The following is a 14,939-nucleotide window of genomic DNA, read 5'->3' on the forward strand; positions in this document are numbered from 1 at the left end:
GGAAAATCTTTCAGCTTTCCCCATTCAGTATGATATTAGCTGTGGGTCTGTCATATATAGCCTTTATTGTATTGAGGTATATTCCTGCTGTACCTAATTTGTTGAGAGTTTTTATCATGAAGAATGCTGAATTTTATCAAATACTTTTTCTGCATCAATTGTGATGATCATATGGCTTTTGTCCTTCATACTGTTGATGTGATTTATCAGGATTTTTTTTTGCATATGTTGAACTATCCTTGTATTCCTGGGATAGGTGCCACATGATCATGATGTGTTATCTTTTTGATATGTTGCTGGATTTGGTTTGATAGTATTTTGTTGAGGATTTTTGCATCATAATCATAAGAATATTGCCTGTAGTTTTAATTTGTGTTGTGTCCTTCTCTGGTTTTGATATCAGGGTAGTGCTGGTCTTATAGAATGAGTTAGGAAGAATTTCTTCCTCTTTAATTTTTTGTAATATTTTGAGAAGAATTTATATTTGTTCTTCTTTGAAAGTTTGGTAGAATACAGGAAGAAAGCCATCTTGTCTTGGACACTTCTTTTTTGGGGGACTTTTTATTACTATTTCAACCTTGTGACCTCTATTGGTCTGTTCAGGTTTTCTACTTCTTGCTTGTTCAATCTTGGTGGTTTATATGGATTCAGAAATTTATCCATTTCCTTTATGATTTCTAATTTGCTTGCATATAGTTGTTCAAAATAGGCTCTAATGATCCTTTGCATGTCTGTGGTATCAGTTGCACTGTCTCCCTTTTTGTTTCTGATTTTATTTGTGTCCTCTCTCTTTTGTTCTTAATCTAGCTTATAATTTGTGGATTTTTGTATCATTTCAGAAAACCAAATTCACTTTTTCTTAATAATCATTTGTATTGTTTTCGTCTCTTTTGCTTTAGTTTTGCTCTGATCTTTATTATTTCTTTCCTTCTACAAATTTGTGGTTTGGTTGGGTCTTGCTTTTCTAGTTCCTTGGGGTGCATTGTCAGATTGCTTACTTGAAATCTTTCTACTTTTTAAAGGTAGGCACTTATTGCTACAAATTTTCCACTTAGATTTTGCTATATCCCATAGATTTTTTTTATTTTGTGTTTCAATTTTCATTTGTTTCAAAAAATTTTTCGATTAATTTTGTCTTAATTTGTTCATTGATTCAATGGTTGTTCAGGTGAATGTTATTTAATTTTGTTTTTTATTATACTTCAAGTTCTAGGGTACGTATGCACAACGTGCAGGTTTGTTACATATGTATACATGTGTCTATGTTGGGTTGCTGCACCCATCAACTCTGTTGGGTTGCTGCACCCATCAACTCTTCATTTACATTAGGTATTTCTCCTAATGCTATCCCTCCCCTAGCCCCCCAGCCCCCACCCCTGACAGGCCCTGGTGTGTGATGATCCCCACCCTGTGTCCAAGTGTTCTCATTGTTCAACTCCCACCTATAAGTGAGAACACGCAGTGTTTGGTTTTCTGTCCTTGTGACAGTTTGCTGAGGATGATGGTTTCCAGCTTCATCCATGTCCCTGCAAATGACATGAACTCATCTTTTTTATGGCTGCATAGTGTTCCATGGTGTATATGCGCCTCATTTTCTTAATCCAATCTATCACTGATGGTCATTTGGGTTTGTTCCAAGTCTTTGCTATTGTGAATAGTGCCGCAATAAACATATGGGTGCATGTGTCTTTATAGTAAAATGATTTATAATCTTTTGGGTATATAACCAGTAATGGGATTGCTGGGTCAAATGGTATTTCTAGTTCTAGATCCCTGAGGAATCACAACACTGTCTTCCACAATGGTTGAACTAATTTACACTCCCACCAACAGTGTAAAAGCCTTCCTATTTCTCCACATCCTCTCCAGCATCTGTTGTTTCCTGACTTTTTAATGATCACCATTCTAACTGCCATGAGATGGTATCGCATTGTGGTTTTGATTTGCATTTCTCTGATGACCAGTGGTGATGAGCATTTTTTCATGTGTCTGTTGGCTGCATAAATGTCTTCTTTTGAGAAGTGTCTGTTCATATCCTTCACCCACTTTCTGATGGGGTTGGTTTTTTTTTTTGTAAATTTGTTTAAGTTCTTCATAGATTCTGGATATTAGCCCTTTGTCAGATGGGTAGATTGCAAAGATTTTCTTCCATTCTGTAGATTACCTGTTTACTCTGATAATAGTGTTTTTTTTTTTTTTGCTGTGCAGAAGCTCTTTAATTAGATCCCATTTGTCTATTCTGGCTTTTGTTGCCATTGCCTTTGGTGATTTAGTCATGAAGCTTTGCCCATGCCTACGTCCTGGATGGTATTGCCTAGGTTTTCTTCTAGGGTTTTTATGGTGTTAGGTCTTACGTTTAAGTCTTTAATCCATCTTGAGTTAATTTTTGTACACGGTGTAAGGAAGTGATCTAGTTTCAGCTTTCTACATTTGGGTAGCCAGTTTTCCCAGCACCATTTATTAAATAGGCAATCCTTTCTCCATTGCTCGTTCTCTGTTTTGGTACCAGTACCATGCTGTTTTGGGTACTGTAGCCTTGTAGTATAGTTTGAAGTCAGGTAGCATGATGCCTCCAGCTTTGTTCTTTTTGCTTAGTGTTGTGTTGGCTATGTGGGTTCTTTTTTGGTTCCATATGAACTTTAAAGTCGTTTTTTCCAATTCTGTGAAGAGAGTCAGTGGTAGCTTGATGGAGATGGCATTGAGTCTATAAATTACCTTGGGCAGTATAGCCATTGTCTCGATATTGATTCTTCCTATCCATGAACATGGAATATTCTTCCTTTTGTTTGTTTCTTCTTTTATTTTGTTGAGCAGTGGTTTGTAGTTCTCCTTGAAGAGGTCCTTCACATCCCTTGTAAGTTGGATTCCTAGGTATTTTATTCTCGTTTTAGTAATTGTGAATGGGAGTTCACTCATGATTTGGCTCTCTGCTTTTCTATTATTGGTGTATAGGAATGCTTGTGATTTTTGCACATTGATTTTGTATCCTGAGACTTTGCTGAATTTGCTTAGAAGCTTAAGGAGATTTTGGGCTGGGACAGTGGGGTTTTCTAAATATACAATCATGTCATCTGCAAACAGGGACAATTTGACTTCCTCTTTTCCTAATTGAATACTCTTTATTTCTTTCTCTTGCCTGATTGCCCTAGCCAGAACTTCCAACACTATGTTGAATAGGAGTGGTGAGAGAGGGCATCCTTGTGTTGTGCTGGTTTTAAAAGGGAATGCTTCCAGTTTTTGCCCATTCAGAAATGGTATTGGCTGCAGGTTGTTCATAAATAGCTCTTATTATTTTGAGACACATTCCATCAATACCTAGTTTATTGAGAGTTTTTAGCATGAAGGGATGTTGAATTTTATTGAAGGCCTTTTCTGCATTTATTCAGATAATTATGTGGTTTTTGTCTTTGGTTCTGTTTATGTGATGGATTATGTTTATTGATTTGTCTATGTTGAACCAGCCTTGCATCCCAGGGATGAAGCCGACTTGATCATGATGGATAAGCTTTTTGATGTGCTGCTGGATTCAGTTTGCCAGTGTTTTATTGGGGATTTTCTTATCAATGTTCATCAGGGATATCAGCCTAAAATTCTCTTTTTTTGTTGTTGTGTCTCTACTAGGCTTTGGTATCAGGATGATGCTAGCCTCATAAAATTAGGCTAGGGAGGATTCCCTCTTTTTCTATTGATTGAAATAGTTTCAGAAGGAATGGTACCAGCTCCTCTTTGTAGCTCTGGTGGAATTAGCCTGTGAATCCATCTGGTCCTGGACTTTTTTTGGTTGGCAGGCTGTTAATTATTGCCTCAATTTCAGAACCTGTTATTGGTCTATTCAGAGATTGAACTTCTTCCTGGTTTAGTCTTGGGAGAGTGTATGTGTCCAGGAATTTATCCATTTCTTGTAGAATTTCTAGTTTATTTGCATAGTATTCTCTGATGGTTAGTTTGTATTTCTGTGGGATAAGTGGTGATATCTTCTTGATCATTTTTTATTGCGTCTATTTGATGTGTCTCTCTTTTCTTATTCATCTTGCTAGCGGCCTATCAATTTTGTTGATCTTTTCAAACAACCAGCTCCTGTATTCATTGATTTTTTGAAGAGTTTTTTGTGTCTCATCTCCTTCAGTTCTGCTCTGATCTTAGTTATTTATTGCCTTCTGCTAGCTTTTGAATTTGTTTGCTCTTGTTTCTCTAGTTCTTTTAATTGTGATGTTAGGGTGTCAATTTTAGATTTTTCCTGCTTTCTCTTGTGGGCATTTAGTGCTATAAATTTCCTTCTACACACTGCTTTGAATGTGTCCCAGAGATTCTGGTATATTGTGTCTTTGTTCTCATTGGTTTCAAAGAACATCTTTATTTCTGCCTTCATTTCGTTATGAACCCAGTAGTCATTCAGGAGCAGGTTGTTCAGTTTCTGTGTAGTAGTGCGGTTTTGAGTGAGATTCTTAATCCTGAGTTCTAATTTGATTGCACTGTGGTCTGAGAGACAGTTTGTTGTGTTTTCTGTTCTTTTACATTTGCTGAGGAGTGTTTTACTACCAATTATGTGGTCAATTTTAGAATAAGTGTGATGTGGTGCTGAGAAGAATGTATATTCTGTTGATTTGGGGTGTAGAGTTCTGTAGATGTCCATTAGTTCCACTTGGTGCAGAGCTGAGTTCAAGCCCTGGATATCCTCATTAACCTTCTGTCTTGTTGATCTGTCTAACATTGACAGCAGGGTTTTAAAGTCTTCCATTGTTATTGTGTGGGAGTGTAAGTCTCTTTGTAGTCTCTAAGGACTTGCTTTATGAATCTGGGTGCTCCTGTATTGGTGCATATATATTTAGAATAGTTAGCTCTTCTTGGTGAATTGATCCCTTTAGCATTATGTAGTGGCCTTCTTTGTCTCTTTTGATCTTTTTGGTTTAAAGTCTGTTTTATCAGAGACTAGGATTGCAACACCTGCTTTTTTTTGCTTTCCATTTGCTTGGTAGATCTTCCTCTATCCTTTATTTTGAGCCTATGTGCATCTGTGCATTTGAGATGGAGCTTCTGAATACAGCACACCAATGGGTCTTCACTCTTTATCCAGTTTGCCAGTGTGTCTTTTAATTGGAGCATTTAGCCCATTTACATTCAAGGGTAATATTATTATGTTTGAATTTAATCCTGTTATTATGATGTTAGCTGGTTACTTTGCCTGTTAGTCGATGCATTTTCTTCATAGCATCAATGGTCTTTACCATTTGGCATGTTTTTGCAGTGGCTGGTACCAGCTGTTCCTTTCCATGTTTAGTGTTTCTTTCAGGAGCTCTTGTAAGGCAGGCCTGGTGGTGACAAAGTCTCTCAGCCTTTGCTTGTCTGTAAAGGATTTTATTTCTCCTTCACTTATGAAGCTTAGTTTGGCTGGGTATGAAATTCTGGGTTGAAAATTATTTTCTTTAAGTATGTTGAATATTAGCCCCCACTCTCTTCTGGCTTGTAGGGTTTCTGCCGAGAGATCCACTATTAGGCTGATGGGCTTCCCTTTCTGGGTAACCCACCTTTCTCTCTGGCTGCACTTAACATTTTTTCCCTTCATTTCAACCTTGGTGAATCTGACAATTATGTGTCTTGGGGTTGCACTTCTCAAGGAGTATCTTTGTGGTGTTCTCTGTGTTTCCTGAATTTGAATATTGGCCTGCCTTGCTAGGTTAGGGAAGTTCTCCTGGATAATATCCTGAAGAGTGTTTTCTAACTTGGTTCCATTCTCCCCATCAGTTTCAGGTACACAAATCAAATGTATATTTGGTCTTTTCACATAGTCCCGTGTTTCTTGGAGGCTTTGTTCATTTCTTTTCACTCTTTTTTATCTAATCTTGTCTTCTCACTTTATTTCATTAATTTGATCTTCAATCACTGTATCCTTTCTTCCACTTGATCGAATTGGCTATTGAAGCTTGTGCATGCATCACAAAGTTTTCGGGCCATGGTTTTCAGCTCCATCAGGTCATTTAAGAGCTTTTCTATACTGTTTATTCTAGTTAGCCATTCATCTAACCTTTTTGAAAGGTTTTTAGCTTCCTTGCAATGGGTTAGAACATACTCCTTTAGCTCGGAGAAGTTTGTTATTACCAAACTTCTGAAGCCTACTTCTGTCAACTTGTCAAACTCATCATCTGTCCAGTTTTACTCTGTTGCTGGCGAGGAGCTGTGATCCTATAGGGGAGAAGAGGTGCTCTGTTTTTTGGAATTTTCAGCTTTTCTTCTCGGGTTTCTCCCCATCTTTGTGGTTTTATCTACCTTTGGTCTTTGATGTTGGTGACCTACAGATGGGGTTTTGTTGTCGATGTCCTTTTTGTTGATGTTGATGCTATTCCTTTCTGTTTGTTAGTTTTCCTTCTAACAGACCTTTCAGCTGCAGGTCTGTTGGAGTTTGCTGGAGGTCCACTCCAGGCCCTGTTTGCCTAGGTATCACCGGCAGAGGCTGCAGAACAGCAAATATTGCTGCCTGATCCTTCCTCTGGAAGCTTCATCCCGGAGGGGCACTCGCCTGTTTGAGGTGTCTGTCAGCCCCTACTGGGAGGTGTTTCCCAGTCAGGCTACACAGGGGTCAGGGACTCACTTTAGGAGGCAGTCTGTCCGTTCTCGGAGCTTGAATGCCATGCTGAGAGAACCACTGCTCTCTTCAGAGCTGTCAGACAGGGATGTTTAAGTCTGCAGAAGCTGTCTGCTGCCTTTTAATCTGCTATGACCTGCCCCCAGAGGTGGAATCTATAGAGGCAGGCGGCCTTGCTGAGCTGCAGTGGGCTCTGCCCAGTTCGTGCTTCCTGGCCTCTTTGTTTACACTGTGAGCTACTCAAGCCCCATCAATGGCAGGCACCCCTTCCCCCTTCAAGCTGTAGCATCACAGGTCGATCTCAGACTGCTGTGCTAGCAGTGAGCGAAGCTCCCTGGGTGTGGGACCCACCGAGCCAGGCACGGGAGGGTATCTCCTGGTTTGCTGGTTGCAAAGACTGTGGGAAATGCTCAGTATTTGGTCAGGAGTGTACCATTTCTCCAGGTACAGTCTGTCGCAGCTTCCCTTGGCTAGGAAAGGGAAATCCCCCAACCCCTTGTGCTTCGTGGGTGAGGCAACACCCCACCCTGCTTCAGCTTGCCCTCCGTGGGCTGCACCCACTGTCCAACCAGTCCCAATGATATGAACCAGGTGCCTCAGTTGGAAATGCAGAAATCACCTGTCTTCTGTGTCGATCTTGCTGGGAGCTGCAGACCGGAGCTATTCCTATTCGGCTGTCTTAGAAGTGACCACCTATTTAATTTCCATGGATTAATATTTGTAGAGTTTCCAGAGTTTCTCCTGTTATTGAATTTTAGTTTTATTCCATTGTTGTTTAAGAAGATATTTTATATAATTTCCATTTGAAAATATTTACTGAAATTTGGCCGGGCGTGGTGGCTCATGCCTGTAATCCCAGCACTTTGGGAGGCCGAGGCAGGTGGATCATGAGGTCAGGAGATTGAGACCATCCTGGCTAACATGGTGGAACCCTGTCTCTACGAAAAATACAAAAAAATTAGCCGGGTCTGGTGGCGGGCACCTGTAGTCCCAGCTACTCGGGAGGCTGAGGCAGGAGAATGGTGTGAACCCGGGAGGCGGAGCTTGCAGTGAGCCGAGATCGTGCCACTGCACTCCAGCATGGGGGACAGAGTGAGACTCTGTCTCAAAAAAAAAAAAGAAAATATTTGCTGAAGTTCCTGTTGTGGCCTAATATGTGTTCTATCCTGGAGAATGTTCCATGTGCTAATTAGAAGAATATGTATTCTACAGCTGTTGGATGAAATATTGTATAAATGTCTTTGAAGTTTATTTGGTCTACAGTGCAATTTAAGTCTTTTGTTTCTTTGTTGAATTTAAGTCTAAATGATCTGTCCTATGCTGAAAGTGAGGTATTTAAGTTCTCAACTATTATTGTACTAGAGTCTATGTCTCTCTTTAACTCCAATAATATTTGCTTTACATATCTGTGTTCTTTGTTGGTAGGTGCAAATACTTTGAAAGGTATTTTGTCTTCTTGCTGAATTGACCCCTTTATCATTATATAATAAACTTAATCTTTTTTCTTGTTTTTTGACGTAAAGTCTATTTTGTCTGATATAAGTACGGGTATTCCTGCATATTTTTTATTTCTATTGGCATGGAATATCTTTTTTTTCCATTTCTTTACTTTCAATCTATGTGTGACTTAATAGGGATGTAAGGGTTTGGTAAGCAGTGTATAGTTGTTGTTTTTTTTTTTATTTTTAATCTGCTGTATCAGTGTTTATCTTTTAATTGGGAAATTTAAACCATTTACATTCAAGGTTTTTAATTGATAGATGAGGACTTACTCTTGCCATTTTTAATAATTGTTTTCTGATTGTTTTCTATATCCTTTGTTCCTTTCTTCGCCTCTTATTGTTTATCTTTGCAATCTGTTGTTTATCTTTAGTAATATTTTATTTCTTGTTCTTTCTCACTCGCATATCTGCTCTACCAATGAGTTTTATACTTTCATATATTCTCATGATGGTAGATGTTATCCTTTAGTTCCAGATGTAGGTCTCTGCTAAACATCTCTTATAGGGTCAATATAGTTGTGATGAATTCCCTTGGTTTTTGCTTGTCTTGGAAATACTTTATTTCATCTTTGTTTCTGAAAGATAACTTTGTTGGGTAAAGTATTTTTAAGTAGCATTTTTTTCTTTTGATGTGACTATATAATCCCATTTTCTCCTGGCCTATAAGGCTTCTGGTGAGAAATCTGCTGTTAATATGTTGGGAATTCCCTTATATGTGATTTTATGCTTTTCTCCTGCTTTTTTAAAAATATAATTCTCTCTCTTTTCCTTTGACTTGACAGTTTGACTATAATGTGCCTTGGAAAGGATCTGTTTGGGTTGAGTCTTTTGGGAACTTTTAGCTTCTTGAATATTGATGTCTATATGTCTTCCAAGAATTAAGAAATTTTCCCCTATTTCATTATTTTATTAGTTTTTTAAAAAAATTATTTTAGGTTCAGGAGTACATGTGCAGGTTTGTTACATGGGGGAAATTGCATGTTGCTAAGGTTTGGTGTACAAGTGATTCCATCACCCAGGTAGTGCACATAGTACCTCATAGTTTTTCAACTCTTGCCTCCATTCCTATCCTCTACCCTCTAGTAGTCCTAGTGTCTATTGTTCTCATCTTTATGCCCCTGTGTACTCAATGTTTAGCTCCCACTTACAAGTGAAAACATTTAGTATTTGGTTTTCTGTTCCTGTGTTAATTCACTTAGGCTAATGGTCTCCAGTTGCATCCATGTTGCTGAAAATAACATGATTTCATCATTTTTTATGACTGCACAGTATTCCATGGCATATATGTACAAATACTTTCCCTATCTAGTTCATATTTATGGGCATCTGGGTTGACACAATGTGTTTGCTATTGTGCATATTGCTGCAATAAACATATGAGTGCCTGTGTCTTTTTGGTAGAATGTTTTATTTTCCTTTCAATATATACCCAGTAATGGGATTGCTGACTTGAATGGTATACCTAAATTCCAGGATAACTGGCTCACCATATGCAGAAGAATGAAACTGGACCCCTACCTTTCATCCTATATGAAAATTAGCTGAAGATAGATTAAAACTTAAATGTAAGACCTAAAACTATAAGAATCCTAGTGAAAACCTAGGAAAGACCATTCGGGGTATCAGCCTTGGGAAAGAATCTATGACTAAGTCCCCAAAAGCAATTGCAACAAAAACAAAAATTGACAAGGTAGACCTAAATAAATTATCAATAGAGTAAACAGATAACCTAGAGAATAGGGGAAAATATTTGCAAACTCTGCATCTGCCAAAGATTTAATATTCAGAATCTATAAGGAACTTAAACAAATCAACAAGCGAAAAGCAACCCCATTAAAATGAGCAAAGGATATGAAGACACCTTCTCGTAAGAAGACATAGCTGTGGCCAACAAATATGTGAAAAAAAATGCTCAACATCAGTAATCATTAGAGAAATGCAAATCAAAACCCCAGTGAGGTACCATTTCACAGCAGTCAAAATGGCCATTATTAAAGATAAAAAATAACATATATTGGTAAGATTGCAGAGAAAAGGGAACACTTATACCCTGTTGGTGGAAATGTAAATTAGTTCAACCACTGTGAAAAGCAGTTTGGAGATTTATCATAAAATAGATTTTTAATGCCTTTTCTCATCTCTTTTCTGAAATTCCAAAAATTGTATTATTTGTTCACTTGATGGTGTCCCATATGTCATGTAGACGTTCTTCATTCTTTTTTATTCTTTTTTTGTTTTGTCTGATTGTGCTATTTCAAAAGACCTCTCTTCAAGTTCTGAAATTACTTCACCTGCTTGATCTAGTCTCTTGTTAACATCTTGATGGTATTTTTATTTTATAGAATTCTTTAGTTCCACTATTTTTGTTTAGTTGTTTCTTACAATATCCCTTTGTTGAATTTCTTATTCAGATCATGAATTGTTTTCCTGATTATATGTTCTGTATTCCCTCGTGTCTCATTGAGTTTCCTTAATGTCATTCTTTTGAATTCCTTTTCAGTTCAGACATTTCATAGATTTCCTTTTATTTGGGGTATGTTATGGGAAAATTATTATTTTCCTTCGAAAGTGTTAGGTTCCTTACTTTTTTATGTTTCCTGTGTTTTTAAGTTAATATTTGTGCATCTAGCTTAACAGTAATTTCTTCCAAATTTATGATATAGCTTTCCTATTAAATTATTTTCATAGAAAAATACTTTTTTCTGTTGATGGATCTATAATGTTGGCTGGGTAGTGTACTTTGGTTTGGTTCGGGGTGAGCACCATAGTATGGTCTCCATATGATTTCTTTGGCTGTGATCAACATCAGTATTGTCCTTGAGCTCCTCAGTGGCTTAGGCTGTGGTTGTTTGTGGAGGCTGTGGTGAGGCTTTGCTGAAGACTAGTACACTGGGTGGGCTGGTCCTGAGGTCTCCCAGCAGCATTCACATGTGTCAGTGGTGGCAGGAGTGGGCCCTGGTCACTTCTTATGACAACTTTTTATCTCATATGAGCAGAAGAGAACTTAATATTCACTAGCTATGTGTCTCCCTGTTAAATGAGTATTCATCTACCAAAGTGGCCTAGTTGTTATCTATGAAATAGTCACCGACCTCTCCCAGAGAGGAAGATAACTCCCTTCCCTGAGCAATTCTTTTTTTTTTTTTTTTTTTGAGATGGTGTCTTGCTCTGTCACTAGGCTAGGGTGCAGTGGCATGATCTCGGCTCACTGCAACCTCCGCCTCCCGGGTTCAAGCAATTCTCCTGTCTCAGCCTCCTGAGTAGCTGAGACTATAGGTGTGTGCCTAACACATCCAGCTAATTTTTGTATTTTTAGTAGAGACGGGGTTTTACCATGTTGGCCAGGACGGTCTCAATTTCTTGACCTCGTGATTCGCCCCCCTCAGCCTCCCAGAGTGCTAGGATTACAGGCATGAGCCACCGTGCTCTGGGCACATTATTTATTGGCATATCTGTGCTCATTTCTTTAGTGTGATGACATGGAGAATAGCTTTTATGGCTAAGAAGTTTGTATCTCTAGGTGCTATTATGGCTCCTGTAAGAGTAAAGTCCTCAAAAAATGCTACAGGACTTGATTAGAATAATAACTTAGAAATATTCCAATCCTGACATCCATCCATTTGAGACTCATATGAAAATAGAAGGCTCATGTGCTCCAATTTATCCTGCCTGTTTGTGTATTTCTGCTTTTTAAGTTTACCTGGACCTGGTGTTAACTTTGGCATTTCATCTCTTATGCACCTAGTTATGACTAAGTTATGACTAGTTATGACTAAGTTATGAGTAGTTATGACTAAGTTAATGTGTTGTCACTTTTTAAGACTGGGAAATTTTCCAGTTCACTCTTAGTCTATCCTGAATTATTAAATATTTGGAATTATTAAATATCAGAATATTGACAATAATTTGATATTTCTAGTTAATACAAATTATTAGAGATGAGTAATATTTATTTTGTGAAGACTATATAAAAGATCTCATTCAGAGAAAAATTTTAAGGTTGTAGCTTGAGTCTTGAGAACAGATATCAATATTACCACATGAAAAAATCCTAATATGTTTATGCTAAGGACAATATTAGAGTGTAAAAACTGCCCTAAGGGAAATTAAGTCCTCAGACAATAACCACCTCAGTGGAATACATTTAGCAGAATATATACCAGTGATTTAAATGCTTATGGAAATGCAATAGTTCACACATTAAGCATCTATGTTTGCATGTCTGCTTAAGTAGATGATATCCAATATTTAAAATGCTGCATTCAAAAATATAAATACATTGTTGTTCTAATTGATGAAAACAGAAAGCATTCTAACATTGTAATTAGTATAGAAACAGCACATTATGATTAATTTAATAAAATTAATATTTTGCTTCCTCATCTTTCTGTTTCCTCCTCTCCTCTCTCCTCTTTCTTTTATTTTTTCCTTCCTTCCCTCTCCTCTCCTCTCCTGTTCTTTTCTTTTCTTTCTTTTTCTTTTTCCTTCTTTTCTTTTCTTTCTTCTTTCCAGGATCTTGCAGTGTCTCTTAGCCTGGAGTACAGTGGTGTGACTGTAGCCTTGAATTCCTGGGCTCAAGCAATCCTCCCGCCTCAGCCTCCCGAGTAACTGGGACTACACGTGTGTGCCACCAAAACCAGCTGTCTTTTTTTAAATAGAGATGGGAGTCTTGCTATGTTGCTGAAGCTGGTCTCAGACTCCTGGCCTCAAGTGGTCCTCCCACCTTGGTGCTTCCTTATTTTTCTGTCAAGAAAATATTCTCAAAATGCAGAGAGTAAAATAGTTACTCATTTTAAGAGAAATTAAAATCAATTTAGATGTCTTATATTAGCAGTGTGTATGTAAATGCAAATTAAATCCTAGGGCAGAGAATAATGCATATATGCATATAGATATATAAAGATTTTGATATTTGGTAAATGAATGTAAATAGTAGAGACGACTTAAGGCTGGAAAACTGGCAAATGTTCAAGTACTTTTCAAAAAAGGGAAATGGGCAAATCCTGAATATTTCATTTTGGTACGCTTATATCAATTCATGGAAAAACTCTAGGTCAGATGATTTGTGAGCTTTAATATAAGTTAAGTTTCACTAGTAGGAGCAAGAGTCTTTAAGAAAATTTATATCCATGTAATACCATTTTCTTTCTGGACAATTGTTTGCCTATATTAACTCAAGGGAATGCCATAGAGGGTTAGTTTTTCCCTGATATAAGTATGGACAAGATGTTAAAATGTGACCTATATAATGAAGTAAAACAACTATGATCGGTGTTACTAGTAAAACAAAGTTAATTCAATCAATGAAGTTGAATCCTCAGTAGTTGCAGAAATGGATCCTTCCGACTCTAAATGGTAAGTGCCTGTGTTTGGGGATGGGAGAGATGACACCATGCCTTAAAAGTATATCGTTCTCTAGAATGATGATTTTGGTTAAGATCATCAGAGGAAGAGAGGTCTCATGATGGTTTGGTACATATTATCATTATTCTCAGTCTCACTGCTGTCCAGAACAATTAAGATAAATGGGAAATTCAGAAGAAGTGGGTGGAATTTTTGGATATTAGTGAGGGACAAAAGAATCCCTCCTCCACAGCCCTGCCTCTTTTCCAAAATGAGAACATCTCAGACAATGAAACTTGGATTGAGCTAATGTGGACCTGGAGGGCTAGGAATATTTGTTAATACCTCTCAAGGTTGTTTCAGAATGGATTGTTTTGCTAGTGGAATGCTGAAATAGATCAGAGGTCTTCTAATTTTCATAAGTACTAAAAATAATATGTATCAGCCTGAAAAAGCATGACTGAGAAATTAAGCCTGATTTCTTTTCCCACTTCCTTCTACGATTGCCCTTCTCTTACACTTCACAAAAAAGGGGCATCCTTTTCTTCTATCTTGTGTTGCAACCATTGTTGAATTGTCTTATAGTGTAGAAACCCTACTCTCAGTATTAAATAAAATGACAATTACAAACGTGAGTGTTTGCTTTGAGGAAGTACATAAGTCTAATAACAATACCAAATCCATTTGCACGTCATGATTTCGAATTTTTTGCTTTCAACAAACTTGGAGGAGTATCTAATTGATTCGGTATTTGGTAGTGGATCAAATAGAATAGAATTGATAGTGAACCACTATTTTGTCTGGCAATAAGTAATCTTCATCCTCAGATATATAAATTAATCAGGGGAATAGAACTGCTTCCATCTCATTAAGAAATGAGTTTCCAATAAAATTTTGCTCTTTATGTATAAAATTTATTAAAAACGTAATATATTTATGTTGTTTTACTCATTTTTACAACTAATTATTGCAATTATGTCTTTATCAAAAGAAATTTTTAGCACTTCAGCACCTTATAGTCAGATAAACTTTTTCAAAAATTAAATTTAAATTTACATACATATTATAAAGCAGAGAAGTACGATGGGGGAACAATAAAAGACTAAAACCTAATAATTCATTAAATTTTAATAAAATTGTCGGTGTAAGTGAAATAGATATATAAGTTCAAGTAGAAGAGTCATGACATTACATTTCTGGACAGTTGAAAAGATGTATTAATGTATTTTTATATGAATAATGACAAGTATAAAATTGCCATGGTATGTAGACACCACTGGCTACATTTTAAATGACATAAAATTTTTATTTTAAAAGTCAATAATTACAACATGTTAAAAAATTATATAATTTGCAATGACTAGAATTTTATGAAAAATTAAACAACTAAATATTTTGTGAAGGGCTTTCAAAATGTGTTTAGGTGACATCAAAATAGAGGTTTGAAAAATGCTGGACTAGTTCTGGTATATTTGTAGAATGCTTCTCATCTGCAGTAAGAGGAAATTTATTCA

The 14,939-nt window shown here is 37.0% G+C and overlaps 1 long non-coding RNA gene across 1 annotated transcript in view, besides 1 other annotated feature; it reads left to right on the forward strand.

Annotated features, from left to right (window-relative positions):
• Window positions 1-14,060, forward strand: part of UNC5C-AS1 (UNC5C antisense RNA 1) — a 38,581-nt gene extending 24,521 nt beyond the window's left edge. Inside the window, exon 5 of the long non-coding RNA NR_183914.1 lies at window positions 12,595-14,060. This is a non-coding gene — a long non-coding RNA (UNC5C antisense RNA 1). The remainder of the gene's footprint in view (window positions 1-12,594) is intronic.
• Window positions 11,245-12,444: an enhancer, noted in NCBI's record as "BRD4-independent group 4 enhancer chr4:96506064-96507263 (GRCh37/hg19 assembly coordinates)". NCBI's record gives its function as "activates an origin of replication core promoter dependent on BRD2, P300/CBP, MED14 and CDK7 cofactors, and independent of BRD4, by STARR-seq in HCT116 cells {active_cell/tissue: HCT116}" and the evidence as "EXISTENCE:reporter gene assay evidence [ECO:0000049][PMID:35650434]".
• Window positions 14,061-14,939: the final 879 nt, after the last annotated feature.

This window comes from Homo sapiens, chromosome 4 (genome assembly GCF_000001405.40).
Source record: "Homo sapiens chromosome 4, GRCh38.p14 Primary Assembly".
Taxonomy (NCBI): domain Eukaryota; kingdom Metazoa; phylum Chordata; class Mammalia; order Primates; family Hominidae; genus Homo; species Homo sapiens.